Below are 27212 nucleotides of genomic sequence, written 5' to 3'. Positions count from 1 at the left end.
TTATAAAGGTCAGTTCCCCTGAACACGCACTCTTGCCTGCTGCCGTGTAAGATTTGTCTTTGCTCTTTCACCTTCCACCATGAGTCTGAGGCCTCTCTAGCCATGTGGAACTGTGAGTTCATTAAAGATCTTTTTCTTTATAAATTACCCAGTCAGGTATTTCTTTAAAGCCATATGGAAATGGTCTAACAAAGAAAATTGGTATCAAATAGAGTAGGACACTGCTCTGAAGATACCAGAAAATGTGGAAGTGACTTTGGAACTGGGTAGCAGGCAGAGGTTGGAACAGTTTGGAGGGCTCCAAAGAAGACAGAAGAGTGTGGAAAAGTTTGGAACTTCCTAGATACTTGGAGTGCTCAGAAGACAGGAAGATGTATGAAAGTTTGGAACTTCCTAGAGGCTTGTTGAATGGCTTTGACCAAATTTCTGACGGTGATATGGACAATGATGTCCAGGCTAAGTGGTCTCAGATGGAGATGAGGAACTTACTGGAGGCTGGAATAAAAGTCACTCATACTATATAGAGACTTGTAGCATTTTTCCCCTGTCCTAGAGATTTGTGGGACTTTGAACTTGAGAAAGATGATTCAGGTTATCTGGTGGAAAAAATTTCTAACTGACAAAGTGTTCAAGACCAAGTACAGCATAAAAGTTTGAAAAATTTACAGCCTGATGATGCAGTAGAAAAGAAAAATCTATTTTCTGGGGAGAAATTGAAGCCAGCTGCAGAAATGAATAAGTAACAAAAAGCCAAATGTTAATTGTCGAGACAATGAGGAAAATGTCTTCAGGGTATGTCAGACACCTTAGCAGCAGCCCCTGCAGTCACAGGCCCAATGCCTAGGAGAAATAAGTCTTCATGGATGGGCCCATGGCCTACCTTCTGTGTGCAGCCTAGGGACTTGGTGACCTGCATCCCAGCTGTTACAGATATGGCTAAAAGAGTCCAAAGTATAGCTTGAGCTATGGCTTCAGAGGGTGCAAGCCCCATGCCTTGGCAGCTTCCATGTGGTGTTGAGCCTGTGGGTTCACAGAAGTCAATAATTGAGATTTGGGAACCTCAGCCTAGATTTCAGAGGATGTATGAAAACACCTAGATGTCTATGCAGAAGTTTGCTGCAGGGGTAGGGCCCTCATGGAGAACCTCTGCTAGAGAAGTGTGGAATGGAAATGTGGGGTTTGAGCCTCCACACAGAGTCCTAACTAGGGTGCTGCCTAGTGGAGCTGTGAGACGAGAGCCAGTGTCCTCCAGGCCCCAAAATGGTAGATCCACTGACAGCTTGCACTATGTGCCTGGAAAAGCCACAGACACTTATTGACAGCCCATGAAAGCATTTGGGAGGGGGGCTGTAGCCTGCAATGCCACAGCAGTAGACCTGCCCAAGGCCATGGGAGCCCAACTCTTGCATTGACCTGGCCTAGAAATGAGACATGGAGTCAAAGGAGATCATTTTAGAGCTTTAAGACTTGACTGCCCCATTGAATTTCTGACTCCCATGGGTCCTGTAACCCCTTTGTTTTGGCCAATTTTTCCCATTTGGAATTGGTGTATTTACCTAATGCCTGTACCCCCATTGTATTTAGGAAGTAACTAACTTGCTTTTGATTTTACAGGCTTCTAGGTGGAAGGTACTTGCCTTGTCTCAGATGTGACTTTGGACTGCGGACTTTTGAGTTAATGCTGAAATAAGACTTTAGGGGACTGTTGGGAAGGCATAAATGGTTTCAAAATATAAAGACATGAGATTTTGAGGGGGTCAGGAGTGGAATGATATGGTGTGGTTGTGTGCCAACCCAAATTTCATCTTGAATTGTAGCTCCCATAATCCCCGTGTGTCATGAGAGGGACCCAGTTGGAGGTAATTGAATCATGAGGCTGGGTTTTTCCTGTGCCGTTCTTGTGATTGTGAATTAGTTTCAGGAGATCTGATGGTTTTATAAAGGGACAGTTCCCCTGCACACAGTCTTACCTGCCACCATGTAAGACATGCTCCTCTTTTGCCTTCCACCATGATTGTGAAGACTCCCCAGCCATGTGGAACCGTGAGTCCATTAAACCTCTTTTTCTTTAAAAATTACCCAGTCTTGGGTATTTTTTATAGCTGTATGAAAATGGACTAATTCATTCTTCTTTTTCTATTTCCTATGGTGTAAGTGTAGGTTGTTGACTTGAGATCTTTTTTTTTTTCATGTAGGCATTTATTACTATATACATCCCTTGTAGTATTGTTTATGCTACATCCCACATACTTGGGTTTGCAGTGTTTTGGTTTTCATTTGTCTCAAGATATTTTCTAATTTTTCTTATTATTCTTCTTCAGGTAGTGCTGTTACAAAGAATTTTTTTATAATTTTCTTATGATTCTTTATTATTTTCATTATATTTTAACACTAAATCTGTACTAATTTTATTAACATAATTATAGAGTTCTAATTTGAGTTAATGCACTGGGAATAGTTATGAATGAAATGCATACAGTTCTGCATTCATCTAAGTCAAAATATTGCATTGATTAAGAGTTCAATATGGTCATGTACCTATTTATATTAGTGACTCAAAAATACATATTCAAAAGTGTATGCAAATATGTCAGTGTTAACTTTTACTTAACAGATTGAACTAGAGGAATGTATGCACTGCATTTAACTCAAAATTTACTTTCATTTATAAATCACAATATGCTAAGCCCACAAGATGTAGTAGGATGTCCTCTACCCTTAACAGTCTTTCTTACTCATAACAGTCATTCGATGAAAGTGTTATTAACAAGCAAATACTTGAAAAAATTAGAAAATATAACATTGGAGACAATTAGATATTGCAGTCACTGCTTTGGTCTTTACATGACATTTTACATTTATACATTCTTTGCCATGTTTGTTAACAAATTATTGTGTTTTCAAAATGAGGGAACTGAATGAAGTCCTTTGACAATTTTCTTGGTGAACCATATTTCTGCAGAATATTTTATAGATAACAAAATATTAGCCAGTGAAATTCGTTATTGATTACTTGGTAGAGGGAGAAGTATAACACATGATATAAATATTGCTAAAGATAAAATATATAAAATACATTCAAAATCTAAGTAAATTGGAAAGTAGTCAGACAACCTCATCATATTGTTTATTCTCATGCTTAGTAAATGTCTTGAACTTCTGAGTTTAGTCATTCTGGAAAAATTAGGAATATTATGTAGAATAATTCCCTAAGGAAAGACTATTTCCTACCAATTAAGATGTGTAATTTAACATATGAATATTGTAAATGAACCTATTTTTGTTTATATTTATGTGATCAAGGGATAGGATCTTAACAAACCATTTTGTATTTGAAAATCAATTTTCAAAGCATATATATATATATATATATATATATATATATATATATATTCATTCATACCACTGGAATCGTTAAGAAAAACTAAAACACACATGAAACTTAGACTGCACTTAGTATTTTTTTAATTCTTAAATAATGATAGTGCTTATAATTTGTGTAAGCTATATATATATATTTACTTTTGTAAAATTTCAGTGTTTCTATTATTGTGATTTTAATTGTAAATACATACAGCACATCCATGAGAAAAATGGAATATTTTACTCTTACAGTTGAAGATCATTTATCTCTGTCCAATCCTGAGCAGGGACTATCACTTTGTTGAGTCCTGCTGTAAGCACCATTGTGTTATTCTGCTTTCATGTAATCTAAAACTTCTAAGAAAAACTGTCTATTCATTTTATACAGAAAAATCTTTGTTGAGGCTTTATATCACACTGAGATATGCATGTCAGTGAGCCCAGAGAATATCGTGTTTAATCTTTGCTATATAAACATTTGTGTGAAGATTACTGTTTGCTAGTTGGTAACTCTCAGATGGAATATGGTTGGTATATTCAAAGGAGCAGTTATTATTTATCAATGCTCTTTAATCTCTTTTGAAATGTTAACAGTAGTGTCATTGTAAAACATCCCTTTGACTGTGATGGGGTTGTTGTCCATAGTGGTATGAAAATTGCTCTTTATTATAGTCACATCTCATACATCAAGATAGTAAATTGTTTGGATTATTTTGTGGGAATAGATATCACAAAAAATGTTTTCCTTTTGTTTCATTTCTTTTTAAAAGGAAAAAGTATTTTAACTGATTCTGTGGAACCTGGAAATTCCTTCAGGTGTGTGTTGGAAATTAATTTAAAATTTTTCAAACAAGAAAGCTAAGCTAAACTAAAACAATTAGACATAGAAGGAAAATATTTTAGCCACTTTTCAAGTGCTGTTGGAACTGTTTATACTTATAATGGGTAAGGAGTTAAACCAAATTGTTCTTTATTCCTTGCTTTTCTTAGCATTATTTCTATTTTAGAAGGTAAATTTGAGAGAAATCTACTCTTCATGGATCAAGAGAAAGTATTTATTCCCTAAGTTTCTTATGCTTGAATGCAAAATTCTGAGTTGATTCCTACTACCCACTGACATAGAATTCTAACAAATATAAATAGCTATATGTCTCTTTAAATAAATACTTTTCATTTAAAATACTTCTGAATATATCCTTAATGGAAACTCCTGGGCTTCCATTATTTGGGGTAGCTGTGTCCATTCATTGCATTCAATTTCACCTTACATACATTGATTTCATATATACATAGAACACCATATTATGCTGCCAGATCTTGCACATTTTTGTTTGTTATTTTGTTTCTTAAACTATGCTACATGAATAATTTCTTAATAGTTATTTAAATATGTAATCCATTTCTTCTTAAAAATATTTTAACTCTTAGTCATTTTCATAAACTAGAAAGCTAAATTTTTATCCATACATTCAGTTCAATGTTAACTATTTGACAAAACTTGGCCTCACTATACTGCTGAAAACATGGTCTAATACCTATATTTATATTAAAACATAATTTCAGCTGTTCATTGAAAAGCCTAAAATCAAACAAAAATATTACCATTCTTGATAAGGCACCAACTAAAAAAGAGGTACCACGTTAACTTTCATCAGAAGAAAGATTGTCTCATGGTTCAAGAAATTAGGATTTTTCAAACAAAATTTTAGGATAACACAATTATACATTAGCAAATAATTTTACCACCACTGTGCACATTATACATCCAAGGCTTTCAAAATTAACTTATCTATAGTATTTTGCAAGATGTCCATATTCATACCTCCCCCGCAAAATCATGAGCTAGGGCTGGTACAGTAAATAGCTAAAGGACAAACTGGGAGCAGCCAGGAAGACTGGCATTATCTTATGGCTTGATACTTTTAGTTCCTGAAAACATTACTTCTTACCTTTTCTACAGTTTTATAGTTGTACTTTTCAGGTGGCCCTATTGATATAAGTTATTCTGGTATTCTCTGAACTGTCTGTGATGTAACTATATATTTAAATTTTCTTTTCACTGTTTATTTTCTCTATCATATTCTTTTTATGTGATTTTTCACTTTATTATATCAAATAATGTATCAAGAAAGTAAAAATAAATAATCCACTATAATATCTATGTCATGATTTAACATACAGTTGTATGTGTATATAAATATACATACATGTATATGTGTGTGTGTATACATACATATGTATACAGATGTATAAACCTGTATATATATATATATATATATATATATATATACACACACACACACACACACACACACACACACACACATACAGGTATGTATATATGTGTGTGTGTGTTTGTGGATACATAGATATGCATGTTATATTTATTGTGCAATATATAGTAAAATAATGCCTGGGCTCTATTCTTTCTCTCTTTTATTTCTAGTATTTTAATGGTATTTGTGCTATGCCTTTAGTCTCAAATTTGCTTCTCTGCCTTATGAATTTTTATTTCCTCTTATTAATTTTAAATATGTAATTAATATGCTTCAAGGAATCCCTTAAGGTTTTATTTTTAATTGTTTTGCACTGATAGCTTCATCTTTATATTTTTTTACAAATTTTTCTGTTTTTTATTTGTTAGTTTTGAAGATATTTATCATAATTTTTTCAAAATCTATTATTTTGTGTACTGAAAATATGGATTTATGGGTAGTCAATTGAGTTTCTTTTCACCAAAATATTTTTTCTCATTCTGACATGTTGTCTTATCTTATATGTCTATTTATTTTGTGAGTATGCCGGACTGTATTTAGAAAAAAGTTTGGATAAAAGATTTGAGGCTCTAGTTTACATCTTCCTCTCAATTAGTACATTTTTCTCTCATGGCAGGCAGCTGCTATTCTGGTGACACTAGCAATCTCAGATCACCTTTAGTCAATCTGAGAGCAATGAAATCTGGGCTTTATTCTTGTGAGACTTTTTTCTATTTTCATTTCATTTATACCACTGAGATTTAGATTTTGAGACTCCTTCCCAAAACCTTGGATTTTTGCCAGGTCACCTCCATCTTGTGTTGAACTCAACTCTGATTTTTCTTCTGCCAGACCAGTGACTGTGTTGTAAGTTCTACTTAGTATTTAGAGTAAAATAATGTTCTTAGGAGGTCAAAGAAGCTGCTACCTGATTTCATTTTTCTAGGCTTTTCACCTTTCTCAGATTTTGGCACAGAAATTTCTCAATGCCTTCCTTCCTTCTCACTTTTTTTTTCTTTTCTATTCTTCTTTTTTTTCTTTTTATTTTTTTGAGACAGTGTCTCACTTTGTTGCCCAGACTGCAGTGCAGTGTTGTGATCCAAGCTCATTCCGGCCTTGACTTCTGGGGCTTAGGAAATCCTTGCCCCTCAGCCTCCAGAGTAGCTGGGAAACAGGTGCAAGCCACCATGCCTGTCTATTTTTTTTGTGTTTTTTGTCTCGAGACAGGGTTTCACCATGTTGCCCAGGCTGGTCTCAAACTCCTGAGCTCAAGCGATTAACCTGCCTTGACTTCCAAGTGCTCGGATTACAGGCATGCACTGCTGCACCAAGCCAGTAGTTTTCAACTTATTCTTTTACCATATATTTTGACAATCTAATTTTCTCTTTATCACATTATATTATTTTCATCATGGAGCATACATTGTAGCATAATTTTCTGTTAGGAATAAAGTGTAACACTGAGGTAGGTAAGTTAGAAATGTATTGAGATATTCCTGAAATGGTAGAGACTCATGTTAAACTTTAAATAACGAGGCAAGAATGAAAGTCTCTCTCTCTCTCACACACACACACACACACACACACACACACACACACACACACACACACACACAGAGATAGCAATAGAGAGGTGGGGGAAATTAGAAGCAACTATGCCAGTGTGTTAAAATGGTTGAATGGTTGAATCTGGGTCAATGTGTACATGAATATGTATCACACCATTTTTGTACTTTTCTATATTTGAATTATTTTAACCTTTGTTAAAATAAATAATACAAAATAGTCATAACTACAGAAGACTAGATCATATCTCATTGTTTCTAAGAAAGAGTTTCTAAATTGGAATAAAATTATTTTCATTTACTCAAGTCTTTAAAAATTTATTTATATTCCTCTTGTGGCACTTAATACATTCTACCTTGTACTGTTATTTGTACATATCTGAATTCATTAGAGATTTGGGGGAAAATGTAAGGCAAGTATAATTGCAAAACTATGATTTTATTTCTCTATAAGGCTAAATGTAGTACTTTTAACATATTAAGCACCGAGAGCATATTTATTTACTTGAATATATTTTCATCCACAAAGTGGAGTGTAGTAGACACAGACAAGTGCCACTGAGAACCAAAGTTTTAAAAATTATACACAAATACAAGGAGTGTGTTTAGCAGAGACCCACCAGCTGTTAGCCTTTCTAGAGTCATCCTGGGCTGACTCTAGAACGATGTTCCTCTTCTGAAGTCACACACTTCCCAAGTTGGCACGTAACTGACTTGGCTGAGGCTTTGTTGGACCTACGACAAAGTTCCACTTTTCACTGTGTCCAATACTGCTGCTTCTTTCTTTTCAAAGGTGTTTATTTCTAGTAAATGCCTTGTACTCTATTAGGGGCTTAAGTTTGTTTTCCCATCAAGGTTCATATTTTAAAGTTCAAATCCCCCTTGCCACACCTCAAATGTAACCATTTCTGAGAAAGTCTTTAAAGAGGTAATTAAAGATAAACGAAGTCATTATGATGAGCCCTAATACAATATTCCTGGGGTGTTTTTAAAGAGAGGAGATTAGAACACACATACAAACATAGGGAAGACCACGTGAAGCCAGCCATATTACAAGTCAAATAGAGGGCCTCAGTGAAACCAACCAGGCAGACACCTTGATTTTGGACTTCTAGCTTGCCAAACTGTGAGAAAAGAAATGCCTGCTGTGGTAGCCACCTATGTTGTAGTATTTTGTTGTGGCAACTCTAGCAAATTAATACACACTCCGAACTATTTCAGAATCTCTTTCTTCAGAATCCAACCTGTGACAGTTGGTATCAGAAAGAAACAAATAAATTAATTAGATGGACTTTTGCAATGGGACACTTCTTGCAAAGCCATTGTCAGAACTATACCACAGTCAATGTTCTTTCTCTGTTCAGCCTTGTCCCCCACTCATAAGTGCTGATCACTAATAAAGTCTTACAGCTGAAACTCTGACTTAGCATCCACTTCTAGAGAACATGGGATGCACTTACATAGGAAATGTCACAATAATCAAATACGTGAAACCAAGGAAATAGAGCTTCTACATATATTTTAATTTTTCTTTCAGTCTGTTTTTCTCTTTCTTACTGTGTGTGTGGGGGGGTGTATGTTTTTCTACAATATGCGTATGCAAATTAGTAAGGTATAGTTATAGTGGTTAAGAAAGGGGTCTGTAGATTCACAAGACATTCCAAAAGGGCCTGTCTAGGATTCTGAATATATTTACTTAACTTATTGTAATTTTGCGATTAACTTATTGTAATTCTGTGATTTCAGGTGAGAAAATCTCTGTGCCTTGGTTGCTGCACCTGAACAAGGAAAATTATCTAGTTCATAAGGTTATGATTGAGGATTCAGTAAATAAGTAACACTTAGAATGGTTGTGGGAAAGAGAGTTTCTGGGAAGCCAGATGAGTTGGTCTGTCCTGTGTGAGACAACCATGGGGAGCCATGAGCGGCCTCTGAGGAGAAAAGTCTCTTTATTGCCTTCATGTCTTTATGCCTGGAGAGCATGACAGCTCCGCGGCGTTCCACAGGTTGCTCAGGGAGATAACACACCCTTGAAGCAGTGGAGTATAATCAAACATCTTGGCTTCTCCTGAAACCCACTCCCACCCATTTCAGCCCTGATAAGTTAAAGATTTTAAGTAGTTTAGACACATGCCTTTGCTCAAGGAAATTCACAGAAACTGCCACTGCTATACATCTTATTGAATGACTCACCAGTTCTCCTTCATTGATTAATCCTTTTCCTCCATCCCTTCTTACCTCTCCCATCTGCCCTAAGAACAAAGAGCTTGTAAACCAATAAATTAGGTGAAGTGGAAGAGCTCTGGCCCATGAGCAAGCCTCTGACTCTCCTGTCCCCTGGACCCACCTTTTAAACTCTTATTCTGTCTCTTTCTAACTCCTTTGTCTCTGCTGGACTTGGGATACCCGCTGGTTGGTGTGGGGCTGGTTTCCCCAACAAATGTTGTCTATCCCATAGAAAACACTTAATAAATTATAATACATTTATAATTACACATTCCCTCTTAAATAAGCAGTTCATAGTTTATAAAGCTTGGTCTAAGCTTTAGTAAAATATATGAAAAGGAATTTGGTGTTTCCAAAATATTTTAGCAAAAGGAAGTGAAGGAAAGCAGATTAGAAAAAAAAATATTTGTGATATGACATTGGAAAAAATAGAACAATTCTCCATTTGAGGCTATGTCAAAGCACAAAGCAAAATATTTAATGTGATATTTTAAAGTTTCTTTTAAATGGCAAATTTTAACAACATTGACTGTATCTGTCTAGATAGTGCTTGAAATAAATAGGTTTCAAAAATATTAACCAAGTAGCTGAATTATTAATCAATGCATAAATCAAGCTTATACTCTACATTTCCATGAATATATTGATAGTGAGTTTTCAAACAATTACGTTTTTAAAAAATCAAGGATTAACTTGAATGCAATCATTAGACATAATAAAGACTCTGAGGGAATATATGTACAGAGTTCTAAATGATCAAATTAAAATAAATTTTGGGAATTTATTCAATGTTAAAATGTGAGGTTGCTTTTCTCTAAGACTTCACCAATTCATGTGCCTCCACACACATATGCTCAAACAAATAAAAATATATTCAGTGTTATTTTTAACATACCTGACATACACATATTGGAAATAAGTTTACATGACAAACATTTCTTAATTAAAATATGCCATTTATTTTAGGATATGTTTTAAGTAACGTAGATATTTGCACTGAGAATCTTTGGGATTCTAGATTTCTTGTGAAAGGAATAGATTAAAATTGGCATTTTCATGGAATTTCCATCTCAAGCAGTTTTTTTTTTTTTTTTTTTTTTTTTGGTTGCCCTTTTTAGGCTAGTAGGCTAAGCATGAGGACTCATGCCTGTAATCTGGGCGTTTTAGAGGCCGAGGCAAAAGAATGGCTTAAGACCAAGAATTCAAGGACAGCCTGAGCAATATAGCCAGACCCTGACTCTACAAAAAATACAAAATTAAATTTTGCAATCATGGTAGTGTACATCTGTAACCCTGGTTACTTGGAAAGCTGAGGTTAGAGGATTGCTTGAACCCAGGAGTTTGAGGCTGCAATAAGCTATGATCCTGCCACTGCATTTCAGCCTGGGTGACACAGGAAGACCTTGTCTCTAATAAATAAAATAAAAATGTTACAAATTTTAGATTTATCTTTGCTGATTTTATTTTAGACTTAATGGTCCACTTTTACCACTGTCTAATTTAAATGTTTATCCAAAAGCACTATTGACAATCAGCAAAAATGTATTACTTATCCTCCATCATATGATTATAAGTCATATGATGATGTACATGACTTAATCAGGGAAACAAAGTAAACATGAAACATGCCTTAAATTACCTTGAAATAAAATTTTGTTGGTAGACTATTACTGATTCAATTTTGGAGCTCCTTTTTGGTCTGCTCAGAGAATCATTTTTTTCCTGGCTCGGTCTTGGGAGATTGTTTATGGCCAGGAATTCATCCATTTCTTCTAGGTTTTCTAGTTTGTTGGCATAGAGGCATTCAAAGTAGTTTCTGATGCTTATTTACATTTCTGTCGGGTCAGTGGTAACGATTCCTTTGTCATTTCTCATTGTGCTTATTTGGACCCTCTCTTTTTTCTTCTTTATTAGTCTAAGTAGTGGCCTATCTATCTTACTAAGATTTCAAAAAACCAACTCCTGGATTTGTTAATATTTTGAATGTTTTGTTTGTCTTGATTTTCTTCAGTTAACCTCTGATTTCAATTATTGATCATCTTCTGCTAGCTTTGGGGTTGATTTGCTGTTGCTTCTCTATTTCTCTCACTGTCACGCACTCATGGCTCTGGTAACCACCATTATACTTTCTGCTTCCATGAGTTTGATTTATTTAGATTCCACATATATGTTAGGTTATGCACTACTTGTCTTTCTATGCCTGGCTTATTTTACTTAGCACCATGCCCTCCAGATTCAGCCTCAATTTGGTCTTCTAACGGTTCACTTGTAGTTAGAAAAGGGAGATGGCAATGCCAATCTAAATCAAAATGTTTTCATGAATATCATAGCCATAAATACACTGTGTAATTGAAAATAAATGTGGAATGACTTCTTTCTCCACTCCTGGAGGCAAAACAGGTATTTCTTTCTTCTTCCATAGCTAATATGAATGAGTCTTAATTCGCTTTATTAGAAATTGATTTTTGGAAGATAGCTTATAGACATAATCAAAGTCATAGGCAGCTGGGATCAGTAATATCAACACATAAAGTGATTACTGAAAACTGAAGCTACCATTTATATTTTGAGATTTTAGTTAGTGTACAGGCAGTGGTTTCCTCTTGCATTAATCCATTTTATATCCTGTGAAGTCAGCTTAATAAATTGTTTTATTTTCAAAGATCAATGCATATCAAAACTAGTATGTAAAATAGCAGATATTACAGCAAAACCAACCTAACATCTTAAAGTGACAGTTGAGAATATGTACATTTTGTGGCATAAACTAAAAAATGGAAGTGGTATGTGTGTGTATAAATATATAATATATATACACAAATGTATACCTATAAAATAGTGAATAATAATACATATTTACCTATGTATATATAAATATAAATAGTACTGTATATATCAAATGGTAAAGAGTAATTTTATGTGTTATATTTATATTATTTTACTGTTTATACTATTTAAATATACAGATATCATGTTACTTCTTTTTCTTTCTACTGTTTTTCTATACCCCAACCCCTTTCTGCATGGTTCAATAAATCAAGGAGTAGCATAGTAAAAAGAGAAAATAAGGCTTTGTTTTATTGTGCATATGTAATATACCAAGTGGATTCACCCTTGTTATATAATTAATTAGACTTTTTTTTGCTTCTTTGGAGCAGTTTTTTTAATATCTATATTTCATAACTTTCATTCTTTCTTAGAGTTCTTACAAGCAACAAAAAATTAAATTTTGTTGATTTTAATAGATTATAATTTATTCTATTTTACAATTACCATTTGGATCCATTGAATTGTTATAAATCCAAAATGAATTATGAGATCAGGATCTTATTTTTATCTATATTTTGAAAACATTTTCTATTTTATCATCCTAAGAATTATCTTATCATGACTCATGATGGTTCATTGATTATTCTCAATTATGCTAAAAAAGACTGTAATAAGAAAAAAAGGAATGATGGAATCACTAAGGAGCAAGATGCAATCATGGAATAAATTGTTGTTCTTTCTTTTGTTATTGTGTTATCCAAAATATGGCATCATCTTTCAGTAAGATATTCAAAATACTCGAGACACCATCTTTGTGGTCTGCTTTTAAGTTAACACAGTTGAAAATTAGAGGTTTTTGTTTTTCATGATGGCAAAGAAAGTTATAAGATTAACTTAATTAGAAGATAAATGCAAAGAACAAGATAGCAGCATTCTAGACTTTAAAGATATAATAAAATTTATCATATTAATTAAATTGACTATATGTCTTCAGATTATGATGACTGAAATGAACATTCTCAAATTTAAGAACCAATGACAAGTTATTTCCAAAGACAAAGTGTAAATACAGTATTCTCACCCAGTTAGTCAAAGGACTTCACACAATAGTTTGGAATAAGAACCTGGATAATCCCATTTTGTTAAAAGAGTGTGTGACAATACTATTTTATCATCCATGGTGTTTGTGCACAAAAATTTACTGCATGAAAGACTTTTACTATGTTTAAAATTTATTAATATTTACTAGTTTATTTTACTGTCTTTTCCTTGTATTTGTAAATTACTTATAAATGACTTAAAATGAGAGCATTACATTAAACAAAAATGTTCTATGGGACCTAGATGGTAAACAATGATAATTATTTTTCTCAGAAATTTGATGATTAAATATTATACCTCATTATTTTTTAACAAAACTCCGGTGAGGACTCATTGTCTTTGCACTTCTATTTGGAAACTGAGATAACTTGTCTAAGAGTGTACAGTAAAAGAATATTATAGCCAAAATGATTCCCAAGATCTCTTACTGAAGGAATGAAACAAAAAAGATTCTTTAATGTCTAATGGAATACAAATATTAAATCTATATTTCGTTATTACTTTTATATTTTAGATAATTATTTACTGAAAACTTTAAATGCACCTGTGGTCATGAGTAATGTTCAGATAAACAGAAAGGGCTGCTTGTGTTATGCTTGTTCTCAAATTTTTTTCTTTGTTAGGAAACTATGGTTTAATTTCTTGAAAAATTGTAAGAGTTTATAAGGAAGTTCTTGAGAATGGTACAAAGAAAATTATGTAGAAAGTTAGAAAGCAGGTAGATTAAAGAGGCTTAAATATCATGAAACAAAACACCTAAATATGAGCTTCCCCTTACATAGGGCAAACATTGCATGGAAATATTAGACTTGAATAGAAGATATTAAGTTAACTCGTTGGCTAAACTTTGTTGTAAATGTAGAATTTAAGCAAATAAATTATTTTTTATTTGGAATATAAATGCCTATTACTTTGTTTTGATATTACAGGTTTTGTGCAAATATCTGCTGAGTGAACTACTTATTTGAAAATACATCATTGGTTAATATTCCCTTTTGCTCATTGAAATCTCAAAGACTACAGGTTTGTCATTTCATACTAATACATACTGCATACATTAAATATACAATCAATTTTGTAAATATCTATTTTAAAATCAATTTCATTTGTTATTTTAAAAAGAAAAGACTTTTTAAAATACTTATTCTAAGTTTTAGCATATTTCCCTAGAGAAAAATCCTGAATTTGTTAACATATTCACTTATATGTTATTATTTTTATGAACTTGAATTAATTTTAAATTATAAATAATGAGGATGTCTTTTATGTGGTAGGTATTATTTGGCAAATTGAATGCATATATTTGGATTGGTTTCAAAAATACAGATTGATAAAATTCAGTCAGTTTTATGACATGAAAATGCAATGTACATTTTAAAAGAATATAGTACAAAAATATGGTTGCTTGAGAAAATATTTTTAAACCTCTTAGTTTACTTTTAAAAGAATATATGTTTTACAAATCATGTATCTAGATATATGTCAGAGTTAGGATTGTCATCATTCTAACATTTAAGGCACTTTTATCTATTACTGTTCATATTGTAGAAATGACTTATACCCCTAAATCCAAGGGGTTAGAAAATGTATCTAAATTCATCTCTTGGAATGTTGAGCATTAATAGCCTGATAATAATTTGGTAAATATATAGTAGTTAATCTTGAAATATATCTATCATACTTTAATTATTTTCAAAATACATTTATTTGGTAAGTGAATATCCAGTTATAATATTGCTGCTTGTGGTGGTAGCTAGTGTTTGTTTATTATATACTGGGTATTTTGTTAGGTTTATAATTGATCCCGTTTAAATTTCCCAGCCATATAGTAATGTTGAGGGATAGATTTCAGTATGAAATGAGATATTCAGGGTAGGAATCATAGGAGAGCCCAGGTCTAGGCAAAGACTTTAAGGACGTGAGGTAGTAATCCTTGTGAATTCCTGGGATGAGAAGATTCTAAGTATAAAGAAAACAGTGGTTGTGCAGGCTCTGCGGTGTAGGTGTGTGCCTGGCTGCATGGTGGGTTTGAGGAAGAACAAGTAAGCCATTTTAATGAGAACAGATTCAGTACAGGAGAGGATAATGATGGCAACAGTGGTCAGAAAGGTAACGGGGGAAAATAATAAGGCACCTTGACAGTAGGGTGATGAAATATCCTACTTGTTCATGCCAATTTATTTTTAGGTATATTGTTCTGTCATTAGTACTATAAACAATTTCACTCACTAATCTGGATTGAATCATAACTTATATGGTCACCCTACTTATCAGCATTATGGGTATCTTGGCTTTTATACTGAATGTAAAGAGTAGCCATGCAGAGTTCTTAGAAGAGAGATAGCTCTGACTTATCTTCTAAAAGGCTTACTTTGGCAGCTTGTTTTGAGAGGTCTAAGTCCTTGGATATTAGCAGAGAAAACTCTTATGTGACTATCATGGAAATCCAAGTGAGAGATGATGGCTCAGACCAGTGGTTTCAGGAGACGGAGAGAAGTGCTTGAAATTTGATATATTTTAATGTAGAGCTAGCATGATTTTATGATGGTTTGGTTAGCAATTTTACTCATTTCGCTGACTGTTTGGTGTTTTGTTTGTTTGTTTTAAAACATTCTAGGATGAAATAAAGATTTTTCTTGTACTAAAAAACTAAAAAAAGAAAAAAAATCTGCCATCAGCTGAGACAGTGAAGGCTGCAGGTAGATGAGATTTAATAATCCTGAGTTCGTATTTGAACATGTTAAATTGCATGTATCTAAGAGAAAACCAAATGGCGATGGATATAGGTTTTGTGTGTAAGGGTCAGGAATTCATTTAAGAAGGCTTTGTTGGCGATATTAATTTGAGAGTTGTAAATTTATGGGTGGTATTTAAGCCATGAGGATGGATAAGATCCTCAAGAACTTGACATTGGGCCCCTTCAATTTTAAAAGTAAGAGAGAAGGGAAACATGTAACATCAAAGATGAGAAGAAACTCCCATGATATGAGAGAAAATTCAAAAGTGTTCTCAGTGCTGTAAGTCAGTTGAAGTAAGTGTATCAAGGAGAAGAGATCTGTATTAAATGCTTCTGATAAATCAATTAAAACCAGCATGCAAATAGACCATCACATTTAGGACGATGTATATAATTGGTAACATTTGATGGAATCAGATTCAGTGAAGTGATGAGAATGAATGTGAATAAAATTAAGAGAGAACAAAAGGAGATAAATTACAAACCTCAAGTTTCATTTCCAGAAAAAGAAAACTGACCAATAAAACAAAGCACAATCTTATTTTTACCCATGAAGAACCAAGTTGCAGCGAGGATGGTTCAGAGTATTTATTTTCTTCCTTGGTCCTTTTCCTATTTCCACCATGTGTTAAGTATGGAACATTAAAAGAAGATAGTAACTTCTCTAAATCTAAATTTATTACAAAGTGCATATACTATTATTATCTACTATAGAGTGTTGAAGAGTTGTTTATGCTTTATAGAGTGAGGTCATCTACTGAAAACATCTAATACGTAAGTTCCCAAATGCAGACACTATTAGAGTTGTTTTTCTTATTTTTACTATTATTACTATTTCCTTCAATTATTATTCAGTTTTTACTTAACAACATAGGAGTTGGTAGGTAGTGTCCTGACCCTTCTTTCTCTTCACATTTGTATTCTCTCCTTCTTCCTCCTGTCCCCATTCTGCCAACATCTCTTTCTCTGAGATCAAAAACAAACACACAAAGTAAAGATACAAACTTTTTGCTTATCTATGGAAGGAGACTTCCATAGATATTCTTACATTATTCTGCATAGTACATTCATGAAATAAAGAATTACCTTTATTGAAATTTTGTATATCTTATATCACAACTTTCTGCTAGGGTAAGGCTGAAGCAGAAACATAAATATGATAAGGAGGCAGATTTGTTAGCTGTATCTCTAATGTTCAACACTTTTCTGGTTCTATGTATTTTTATCTGCTGCACACCTGCTTAACATACCTACCTCCCTCTTTTTTTCACGAATTCTTATTTTACTCCAGGTTGCACACTTTAATATCTTTCAAACTAGAATGCAAATTGCACCTAGCCAACATAAACAATGTATGAGTACTGAACATTTATATAACCTCATTTTTTAGGAAATGGTAGTGTTAAATGTGGAGAAGACAAACAATAATATATTTTGGACAAAGTGCCCATCCTCTCCTTTTTTCCTTGTTCCTAGACCCCGCACAAGACATTCTGACATTCCCGTCTTTGAAATGAATGACAGCAATGATAAATATGGCTCACCTCCAGAGATACAGATCTCACAACTTCATATTTTTAATATAAATTATTAATCTGAGGTATGATTAGTATTAGCATCTTTGGTCCTTTCACTAGATGGAATTCATAGATTGTAAGATATATTGTGTTTATCTTGTTATACTAATAACATACTGTTTGGCATATATTTAGCATTTTTGGTTTTAAACTAAGTTTAATTAAATTATATTTCATTAAATCTCTGAAATAGAAACAGGCATGGTAGCTCATGCCTGTCCCAGTACTTTGGGAGGCAGAGAGGTAGGAGGTTTGCTTGAACCCAGGAGTTTGAGGCTGCAGTGAGCCAGAATCATGCCACTATACTCCAGCCTGGGAAATGAAGTAAGACCCCATCTGTAAAAAAAAAATAGTAAAAACTAAAAACTGAAAAAAATTTTAAAAATACTCAAGACTTTCATATAAATCTTTCCTATATTTAAATATAATGATATATAATTCACATATATACTATTTTATATTACTGTGACTTCACTTCTTATTTTATAAAGTAGTAGCATAAAACATTTTTCATCATTATTTTTGTATTCATGTCAGGCGATAAATTTTTCTTTGAGTTGCAGTCTTAAAAGAAGTCTCAAATTTTCTATGATGACATTTACTGAAGAAAAAATCATACTGTTGCTCAGTGTTTACTCTATTGACTTATTTGGTCACAAGTTCAGATATTTTTATTGATTGTTACATATTGTTATGAAGGCACATGTTGATTTGTGTAAGATAATAGTTTATGTAATAACATGATGTTATGATGTTAAGTTCCAACATAGGAAATACATGATGTTCAAAGATCTTAACATGTTAAATAGAGCTACCACAATATCTCTATGACATTTAAATAATCCCTAGTCATCAACCCTTTACTTCTAATTCAATCCTTAAAAAGTAGAGGAGGGTAATGGTGCTATGAACTGTCCAAATATTATTTTTCTTCTCCCCATGAAGAAGACAGAAGGAATACCTAACTCAGTATCAAAAGAATTGCCCTGTGTCAAATCTAGCTTGTGGCTTTATGAGATGCTACGTATGAAGACCCACTCTAGAACTTCTAAGAAAAAGGAATTTGGTAGGATTATTCTCAGAGATCTACAGGGAGTTTCTCTTAATGTTTGGGAATATACATGAACATAGAGACTGAGGGCCGATTCTGATGTAAAAATTACTGAAGATGAGAGACATACCTACAATCATATAAACAATAAGAAGACCATAGAACTCTCTCCATTTTAGTTTAGTTGGAGACTGCAAAAGAATTTTCTAGTGTTTATGGCTCCTGTGAAGTGAACATATTTTCCAGATCAGTATAGAGTACCAGCAGCAGATGGCATCAGATGGACATCTGAGCTGAGCTGGAACTGAGATACCTTGTTTCCATGATTAGTGACGCTTTCTATTAACTATGTATGTTGCCTTCCACTCCTTACCTTCAATATCAAAATAGATTGGTATTCAAAAGGGAAGGGTTTGAGTGTCCTAAAGTCTTACCCTTTTATCTCCCCAACCACTATTACTATTAAACTAAGGGCATGGGTTCAAGCCTGCCTTTGAGGGAGTGAGACTATATGAAATCTAAATTGAGTTTGAGACAAAGTTGTGTATTAGACTTTAGTTTTCATAAGCAAAAGTGACCCAAAAGTTATGGAATTTGTCCAGATAATAATTTAAGGAATGAGAATATGATATAGAACAACTAGATTGGAAATACAAATAACATTTTAAATATATGCTATCTTTGAGATTTCTCTATAAACTAGATTATACCTAATTCAAGAGTACATTATATGGCTTACAAAAGGAATGAGGGAGAGAAGGTGAGAAAGAGAGGGTTAATGTTTAAACAAACATGTTTTATTAAAACATCTGGGTACTAAATAAATCATAACTCTTTCCTACATGTGATTTGTAAGATCCACTGGGAATATATATTTTAAACCTACAAGTTAAAACATTTTGTTAGTAATCTGACCTCAAGGATACCCTGTTTTATTCTTAAAAAAAAATCCTTTGTAGGTTTGATAAAACAAATTTAATATTTATATTAATTTTGTGAGAATATTAAGTGAGATCATGACATGTTTTCCGAGAGTTAATTCTCCAAGTTTTAGAATCTACACTGGGAAACACAATGATTATTTAGCAACTGAATGGACTACACAAATTTCCTTCTTCCTCCTATTTCTCTTCAAGTCAGACCTCATTCAAAAAAACTATATATCACTTCAGCAAATGAAAGTTCATAATTTTAAGATGAATAATTATTTTTAAAACTTTACTTCTTGAAATAAAAATTCTTTCCTTTCATGATCAATTTGTACTCTTCCTTTATATTTTCCCTTAAATGAATTGTTTGGACATCAGCTACCAAGTCAACAATTATTTTATCTCTAACATTACATTTTTGGAAGTTTTTAATATCAGTTGTCATTCAGTGTTCAAAACTTATTATGCTGTGCTTGTACACTAAAATATGAAAAGATGACTGCTTCTGGTTCAGCTTCAGGAACCTCAGCTAATTGTTTTTGGAGTTTATCAAAATAAATGGTATTTAAAAATCATGTACTAGGAAGTAATAGATAAAATATTCTCTTGTCATGTTATCATTTTGAAATGTTATACCACAATACATTCAAGCTCTAAATTTTAATTTCACATAAACTAAAGATTTTATTTTAAAAAAGGAAATATTGTAGCTGTTATATATTACATATTAAATATTTGTTGGGATTCACCCTTTTGTTATGTAATTAATCTAAAATTATTAAAAACTTCAAAGATTAATGGGACAATAAATAACCAATTTTGTTAAAATAATGTAGGTATACTTTTATTGAGTATACCTGAATCTGGAATTTGGAAAAAAAAACTTTAAAAACAGTGAAAAGATTATAAATTAAGTGAAAGTTGCAAAATTAACCATAAAATACTAAATGTAGAAACTTGATTTCACAGTCATGACAGTCATGTAGCAAAACTAAGGAGGTAAATAAGTGAGCCAAATTGACTGTAAATATTGTTTTATTTACATGTGGGACAAAAGGAAAAGTGGCTGAGTTTCCAAATTTGTGAATGTATCATTATTTGAATACACAAAGAACAAAATGATTTCTAAAATCATCAGAGCCAACTAACATTAACTAACATTTAATGTAAATCTACATTTTTAAACCAGTGTTTAAATAAATTTTTAAATAATATTTAGCAAAGTGGAAGCCAAAAAAGCCAACAGGTTTACTTGAAATAAATCTAAGAAGAGCACATTTAAACAATTCAATGCATCTTGCTTTTTCTTTTTTTCTCTCCTATTTGGCTTCTGTAACAAATACTTGATGTAAATATATGTGGATTTCTCACTAAAATGGTGATAGTACATACTGTCATCCCTAAAATAAAGCTGCAACATCATTAGAATGAAGTGATAAGTATTGCTTGAAGTGATAAGTATTGCTTTAAGTGAAAGTAATTACTAAGTACTTACTAATTTATTACAGAAAATATTAAGCTTTATCCTCAGAGAGAAAGATATTCATAGTCCTCTACCCTTTTTTCCCCAAAAGTTAATGTCAATTGTTTCAATACAAGCTTTGAAATTATTCCTTTTATTAAAAATTTAAAAATCTATTCTAAGACATAGTGTATTCATAATTAATTTCCATACATTCTATGCAAGTAGAAAATCTGTAAAATGAATTTTCGTAGAAACCGAGTAAAAATAATTCAAATATAAAGGAACACATGAATAAAATAGACGTTTCCTATAGGATCTTTTTCAGTATCAGACTTAATTTACACGTAATGCTTGTGAGAAAAACCATCCACATCTAAGAGATATGTGGTATTGTGGCATTTAAAAAATGACCTTTATAAGACTTCTCAGAAACATTTCTCCATCATGCAATTCAGGAGAAGCATTTTTATGTTGAATGTAGTCCCAGTCTCAGTCAGAATGTTTTCAGTTATTTGTTATATTGAACATCCTAGACAATTTATAGGTATATTTGATAGATCTTGCTATCATCTATTGGTTGCTAGGGGATAGGAAGATAAGCCCAAAGCAAGGACAACTCTGGGAAATTCCAGAAGTAAAACTGAGAGTACCAGACTTAGGTTTTATAACCATTTCTAAATTATTTTATAGATACCAAAACAGAATGAGGGTTTTGAAAGCATATTTCAGAAATCATCTGCATGAAAATGAGAACTTGATTGAAATGTCCTGGGATGCACCTCACAGCCTCAAATCAGAATCTTTAGAGATTCTTTGGGTTTCTAATATACACTCACAGTTGGAAAGTATTTACATAGGAGTTCAATTCCAAGAAATGAATTATTTCTAGCATGTATAACTTAAAACAGACAAACAAAAAACCTGTTCTTCCCAACTCTAGATTTTACTGTAACACTAGCCCATCTGCAGGATGGGGAGCTTGAGGATAACAGCGTATCATGCAGTGCAAGACCTTTGCTTCTAATAAGGTTTTACTTGGGGAATGACAGTCATACAAAAGCTAACACTGGTATTTTTTTATTTTGAGTATTTGTTGTTTGTATGTCTATTTAATGATTCTGTGCTCTCTTATGGTTAAGGCCAGAGCTGTAAGATAAATAATGAATTTTAAGGGGCATCATATTTTCATAAATGTGCAATTTCCACTGCATTGCTTCAGTGTGTGGGGGTACAGAGAGCTTAGGGAGAACATAGAGCTACACATAACTCGCTAAATCCATTCATTGGTTTAAAAAGTTTAAATGCTTCGTAGTTTGTACCAGTAATTTAGTCACTTTTCTAGAAAATTTGGTCAGGTTTACAGATAAATTAGACATAGACATCATTACCATGAGCCTAAAATTCTGTTGTGAGGAGAGAAGAAATAACCATAAAAATAAAAATAATGAATGTATCTTATTTTTCAAAGATCATATTTAACTAATTCAATGATTTGCTTTACTCTTTTTCCCTGTTTTGTAGATATAAAACTGTGCTTCTCTGTATGTGTTACAAATTACTATGCTGTGGTTGCCTGTTCCTTTTCTTCATAGTACCTTTATCAAATTTTTAAAATTTACATAGAATAATATAGACATACTTTTGGTGCACAGTTTATGAACTTTAACAAATGTTTATATCTGTGTAATAGTAATAGCCTGCACAACCAACATACAGAAAAGTTTCATCACCCCAAACAACTCCTTTTTCTTTTTTACTTTTTTTTTTTTTTTTTTTTTTTTGAGACGGAGTTTCCTTCTCCTTGCCAGGCTGGAGGGCAATGGCGCGATCTCGGCTCACCGCAACCTCCACCTCCCAGGTTCAAGAGATTCTCCTGCCTCAGCCTTCTGAGTAGCTGGGATTACAGCCCACCACACCTGGCTAATTTTTTGTATTTTTTGTAGAGACGGGGTTTCTCCATGTTGGTCAGGCTGATCTCAAAATCCCGACCTCAGGTGATCTGCCGGCCTCAGGCTGCCAAAGCGCTGGGATTACAGGCGTGAGCTACCGTGCTGGCCTTGCTTTTTTTCTAGTCACAATTTTTCCTGTAGTTAACCTGTTAAAAACATCGACTGTTTCTGCATCACTACAATTTTCCTCTTTCAGAAAATCTTGTGAACAGAACAGTACAGTATGTAACCTTTTGACATTGGCTTCCTTCACTAAACATAATTTGAGATTTGAGATTCATTCACATTGTTGAATCAGTAGTTTATTTCTTTTTATTGCTGAGTAGTGTCACATTTTGTTGATGCATTGTCCTATTGAAAAACATTTGGATTGTTTCTAAGTTTGTGTGATTATGAATATAATCTGCTATAAACATTCTTTAACAGATTGTTATGTGAACCAAATTTTCATTACTCGGGTAAATACCTAGATCATTAGGTCAAATCACTAGATTATATGATGCATTTATTGAACTTTATTAGAAACTGCCAAATACTTTTCTAAAGTGGCATCACCACTATACAGGAGAATTCCAGTTGCCCTTTACTCTCACTAGCACTTTGAATTACCAGCAATTTTTTTTTCGCCACTTCAATAGGTATGTTTGGTATATCTCAGTAATTTGTCTCTTCTTTATATTTTGTCGGTATAGCTAGAGATTTAACAATTTTATTCATCTTTTTATAAAGCCAGCGTTTGGCTTAATTTTCTACTTCTTATTTAATTTTTTCTGATCTTTAATATATCCCTTTGCTTCATCTGGGTTTATTTTATTCTTTCCTTTATAATTTCTTGAGATGGGAGCTCAGATTAGTTCTCTAATATATATATTTTTCTAATCTAAGCATTTAATGCAATAAATTTCCTTCTAAGGCTGCTTTAGCTGTATCCCACAGATGTAGATATGCAATATTTTCATTTTTATTTAGTTCAAATGCCTTCTAATTTGTCTCAAGACTTATTTATATATCTGTGGGTTATTTAGAAGGTTGTTGCTTTGTTGTTATTGTTTTCCTTGTTTTTAGGATTTCTCTGTTATCTTTATGTTATTGATTTTTAGTTTAATTCCATTATGGTCAAATGACCTGTCTTTATGATTTCAAATGTTTTAAAATTTTTAAAAGTGTATTTTATGACCCTAGGTACGGTCTGCTTTGATGAGTGATCTCTGGGTGCTTGTAAAGTTTTCTGCTGTTTTTGCATAGTGCTCTATGAAAATTTATTAGATCCTGTTTGGTGGTGGTATTTAGTTCTATATCCTTTCAGATTTTCTAGTTATTAATCCGACTGAATTTAGAGCAGAATGTTGAAACGTGCATCTCAACTTGTAGATTATTCTACTTCTCCAGTCAATTCTATTTTTACTTTATTAATTTTGACCTCTGCCATTAGGTGAATACACATTTTAAATTGCTAGGTAAATTTTGTATCTGCTAGGTAAATAGATACATTTATCATTATGTAATGTTACTCTATAATGTTGGTAATTTTCCTTATTCTTAAGTCTACTCTATGTTAATATAGCCACTACACCTTCCCTTGATTAGTCTTTATATGGTGCATCCTTTTTTCTATCATGTTAATTTTAACTTACATATGTCATCATAATTGATGGGAATTTATTGTATGCTGATTAACTTAGGTCATGAGTAAACTATCCATAGTTCAGTTCTCACAATCTATGATACGTTGTTAGGGTCATGTCTAAACATATGCTCCTTCATCATAAGCTCAGGAGTTTAGTATTAAGTTTATGCAGCCACTTCCTTGAGCTCCTCCCTTTCAATGATCTCCCTAGTACATTAAATTTACTTAGTTTTCTCTCCTTCCTGCCTTCCCACCACAGAGCTTCAGCTTTACTTATACTACACTGTGGGGGCATTTCCCTTAGCATATACAGGACCAAGTAGTGGGAGGACATACCAAGATAAAAGGCACAAGAAATTTGTCCCACTCTCTTTGTACTATAGTTTGTCTGATCAAAGAGGACAATTTCACTTGTGCAGTTTTATAATAGATGCCTATGGCCTACTTGGACTGAGGCATTAAAGAATATAGAACATGCAAGAAGACAGAAGAGACAGAGAGAAGAGAGAAGAAAAAAGAGAGAAAAGGAGAGAGAGAAGAGAGTGAAAATTAGAAATAGAGAATTTTCCTCAAGAAATGGGTCTTCCAATTTATCTGAGTATTTGGAGACTCCTTTATTGATTCTTGTATCAGAGCAGAGAACTTCTCCTGGAGCATTTTCTGTCTACACTGACATCCTTCTTCAGGTTTTAGGCTGTGATGAGTCTGTTACTGGTGATTACAGAGGGGAAAAAAGAAATAAACTCAATGCTGGCTCACAGATACTTTGAATTCAAGTCTTTTGTCTAAATTCACCTACTGGCAATTTACTTTTCAAGAGATATCAAATAGCCCATTCATTGTGTCCGAGTTTTAAAGCTGCACTGAGCCGGAGAGACAGGGTGGAATAAGATTACTGTATCTTAATATGGAAATAAACCTCTTAATAGTGTCTTAGGATAAACATAAGTTCTTGATTTTAATGGAGTCCAAATTAACATTTATGTGTGGGGGTGTGCGTGTGCCTGTGCTGTGTGGATGTTTTGTGTTTAAGATATCTTTCCTCTCAGAAACTATGAATATATTCCCCTATGTAATCCTGGAGAAGTATTACTGATTTACCTTTCAAGATTAGAGGCTCAACTCATCTAAATTTAACTTAGTGTTAGATGTAAGAAAGTGTTCAAGATGTGTTATATTTCCATACAGAAAATTAATAAGTTACCATTTACTGAAAATACTGATACAGAATAGGGAACCAAGAAATAAAGCTGTAACCTTGCAGGAAACTGACCTTTGACAAAGTTGACAAGAACATACACTGGGGAAAGAACACTCTTTTCAATAAATGATGCAAGGACAGTTGAATTGCCAAATGCCTGAACCCTTAACTCTCACCACATACAAAAATGAACTCAACACAGATTAAAGGCTTAAATGTAAGATCTTAAACTATAAAAATACTAGAAAAAATAAAAACTAGGGAAAACTCTTCTTGACATTGGTCTAAGAAAAGAATTTACAATTAAGACTTCAAAAGGACAGACAACAACAACAAAAAAATAGACAAATGGGACATAATTAAACTAAAATATTTCTACACAGCCAAAGAAATAATCAACAGAGTGAAGAGACAACCTGAAAATCTGGAGAAAATATCTGAAATCTATGGATCTGACAAGGGTCTATATCCAGAATACAGAAGGAACTCAAATAACTCAACAACAACAAAATAAAATAACTCATTAAAAAGGGAGAAAGGACTATAGATTGACATTTTTCAAAAGAAGTCATTAAAAATGACCAACAAATATATAAAAAAGTTCAACATCATAATCATAAAAGAAATGCAAATTAAAACCAGAATGAAATATCATCTTATACTAGTTAGAATAGCTCTTATTGAAAATAATGAATGTTGCCAAAGATGCAAAGAAAAGGGAACTCTTATATACTCTTGGTGGAAATGTAAATTAGTACAGTCATTATGGAAAATAATATGGGGATTTATCAAGGAACCTAAAATAGAACTACCATTCATTCCAGCAATCTTACTAATGAGTTTCTATCCAAAAGATAATAAAGCAATTCATCAAAAAGATACCTACACTCCTATGTTTATCACAGCACTATTCACAATAACAAATATACGGAATCAACCTCAGTTTCCATCAATGGATCAATGTATAAAAAAATGTGGCACACATAAATACAATGGAATACTATTCAACCATAAAAAATAATGAAGTCATGTCTATTGCAGTAGCGTGGATGGAACTGGATACCATTATCTTAAGTGGCAACAAGTCAGACACAAAAAGACAAATATTGCATGTTCTCACTTATAAGTGGGAGCTAAATAATATGTAAACATGGACATAGAGTGTCGAAAGACAGATAGTGGAGACTTGGAAGGGTGAAGAGGTGGGAGGAGAGTAGATGATGAGAAATTACTTAATGGGTACAATGTATATTATTTGGGGGATGGATACATTAAAAGCCCTGACTTTACCACTCTACAAACCATGCATGTAACAAAATTATGCTTTTACCCCCATACACTTTTACCAAAAAAATAAAAAAATAGTCAAGACAAAATGATGATAGTGAGTTAGAAAC

The 27212-nt window shown here is 32.9% G+C and overlaps 1 long non-coding RNA gene across 1 annotated transcript in view; it reads left to right on the top strand.

Annotated features, from left to right (window-relative positions):
* The window catches only part of LINC01192 (long intergenic non-protein coding RNA 1192), a 126059-nt gene that overhangs the window by 10490 nt on the left and 88357 nt on the right, over nucleotides 1-27212 (top strand). The window contains exon 2 of the long non-coding RNA NR_033945.1: nucleotides 14209-14302. This is a non-coding gene — a long non-coding RNA (long intergenic non-protein coding RNA 1192). The remainder of the gene's footprint in view (nucleotides 1-14208; nucleotides 14303-27212) is intronic.

The sequence above is a fragment of the Homo sapiens genome, chromosome 3 (assembly GCF_000001405.40).
Source record: "Homo sapiens chromosome 3, GRCh38.p14 Primary Assembly".
Classification (NCBI taxonomy): Eukaryota; Metazoa; Chordata; class Mammalia; order Primates; family Hominidae; genus Homo; species Homo sapiens.
Note: the sequence above shows the minus strand (reverse complement) of the source record. Positions and strands in the feature narration are given on the sequence as shown.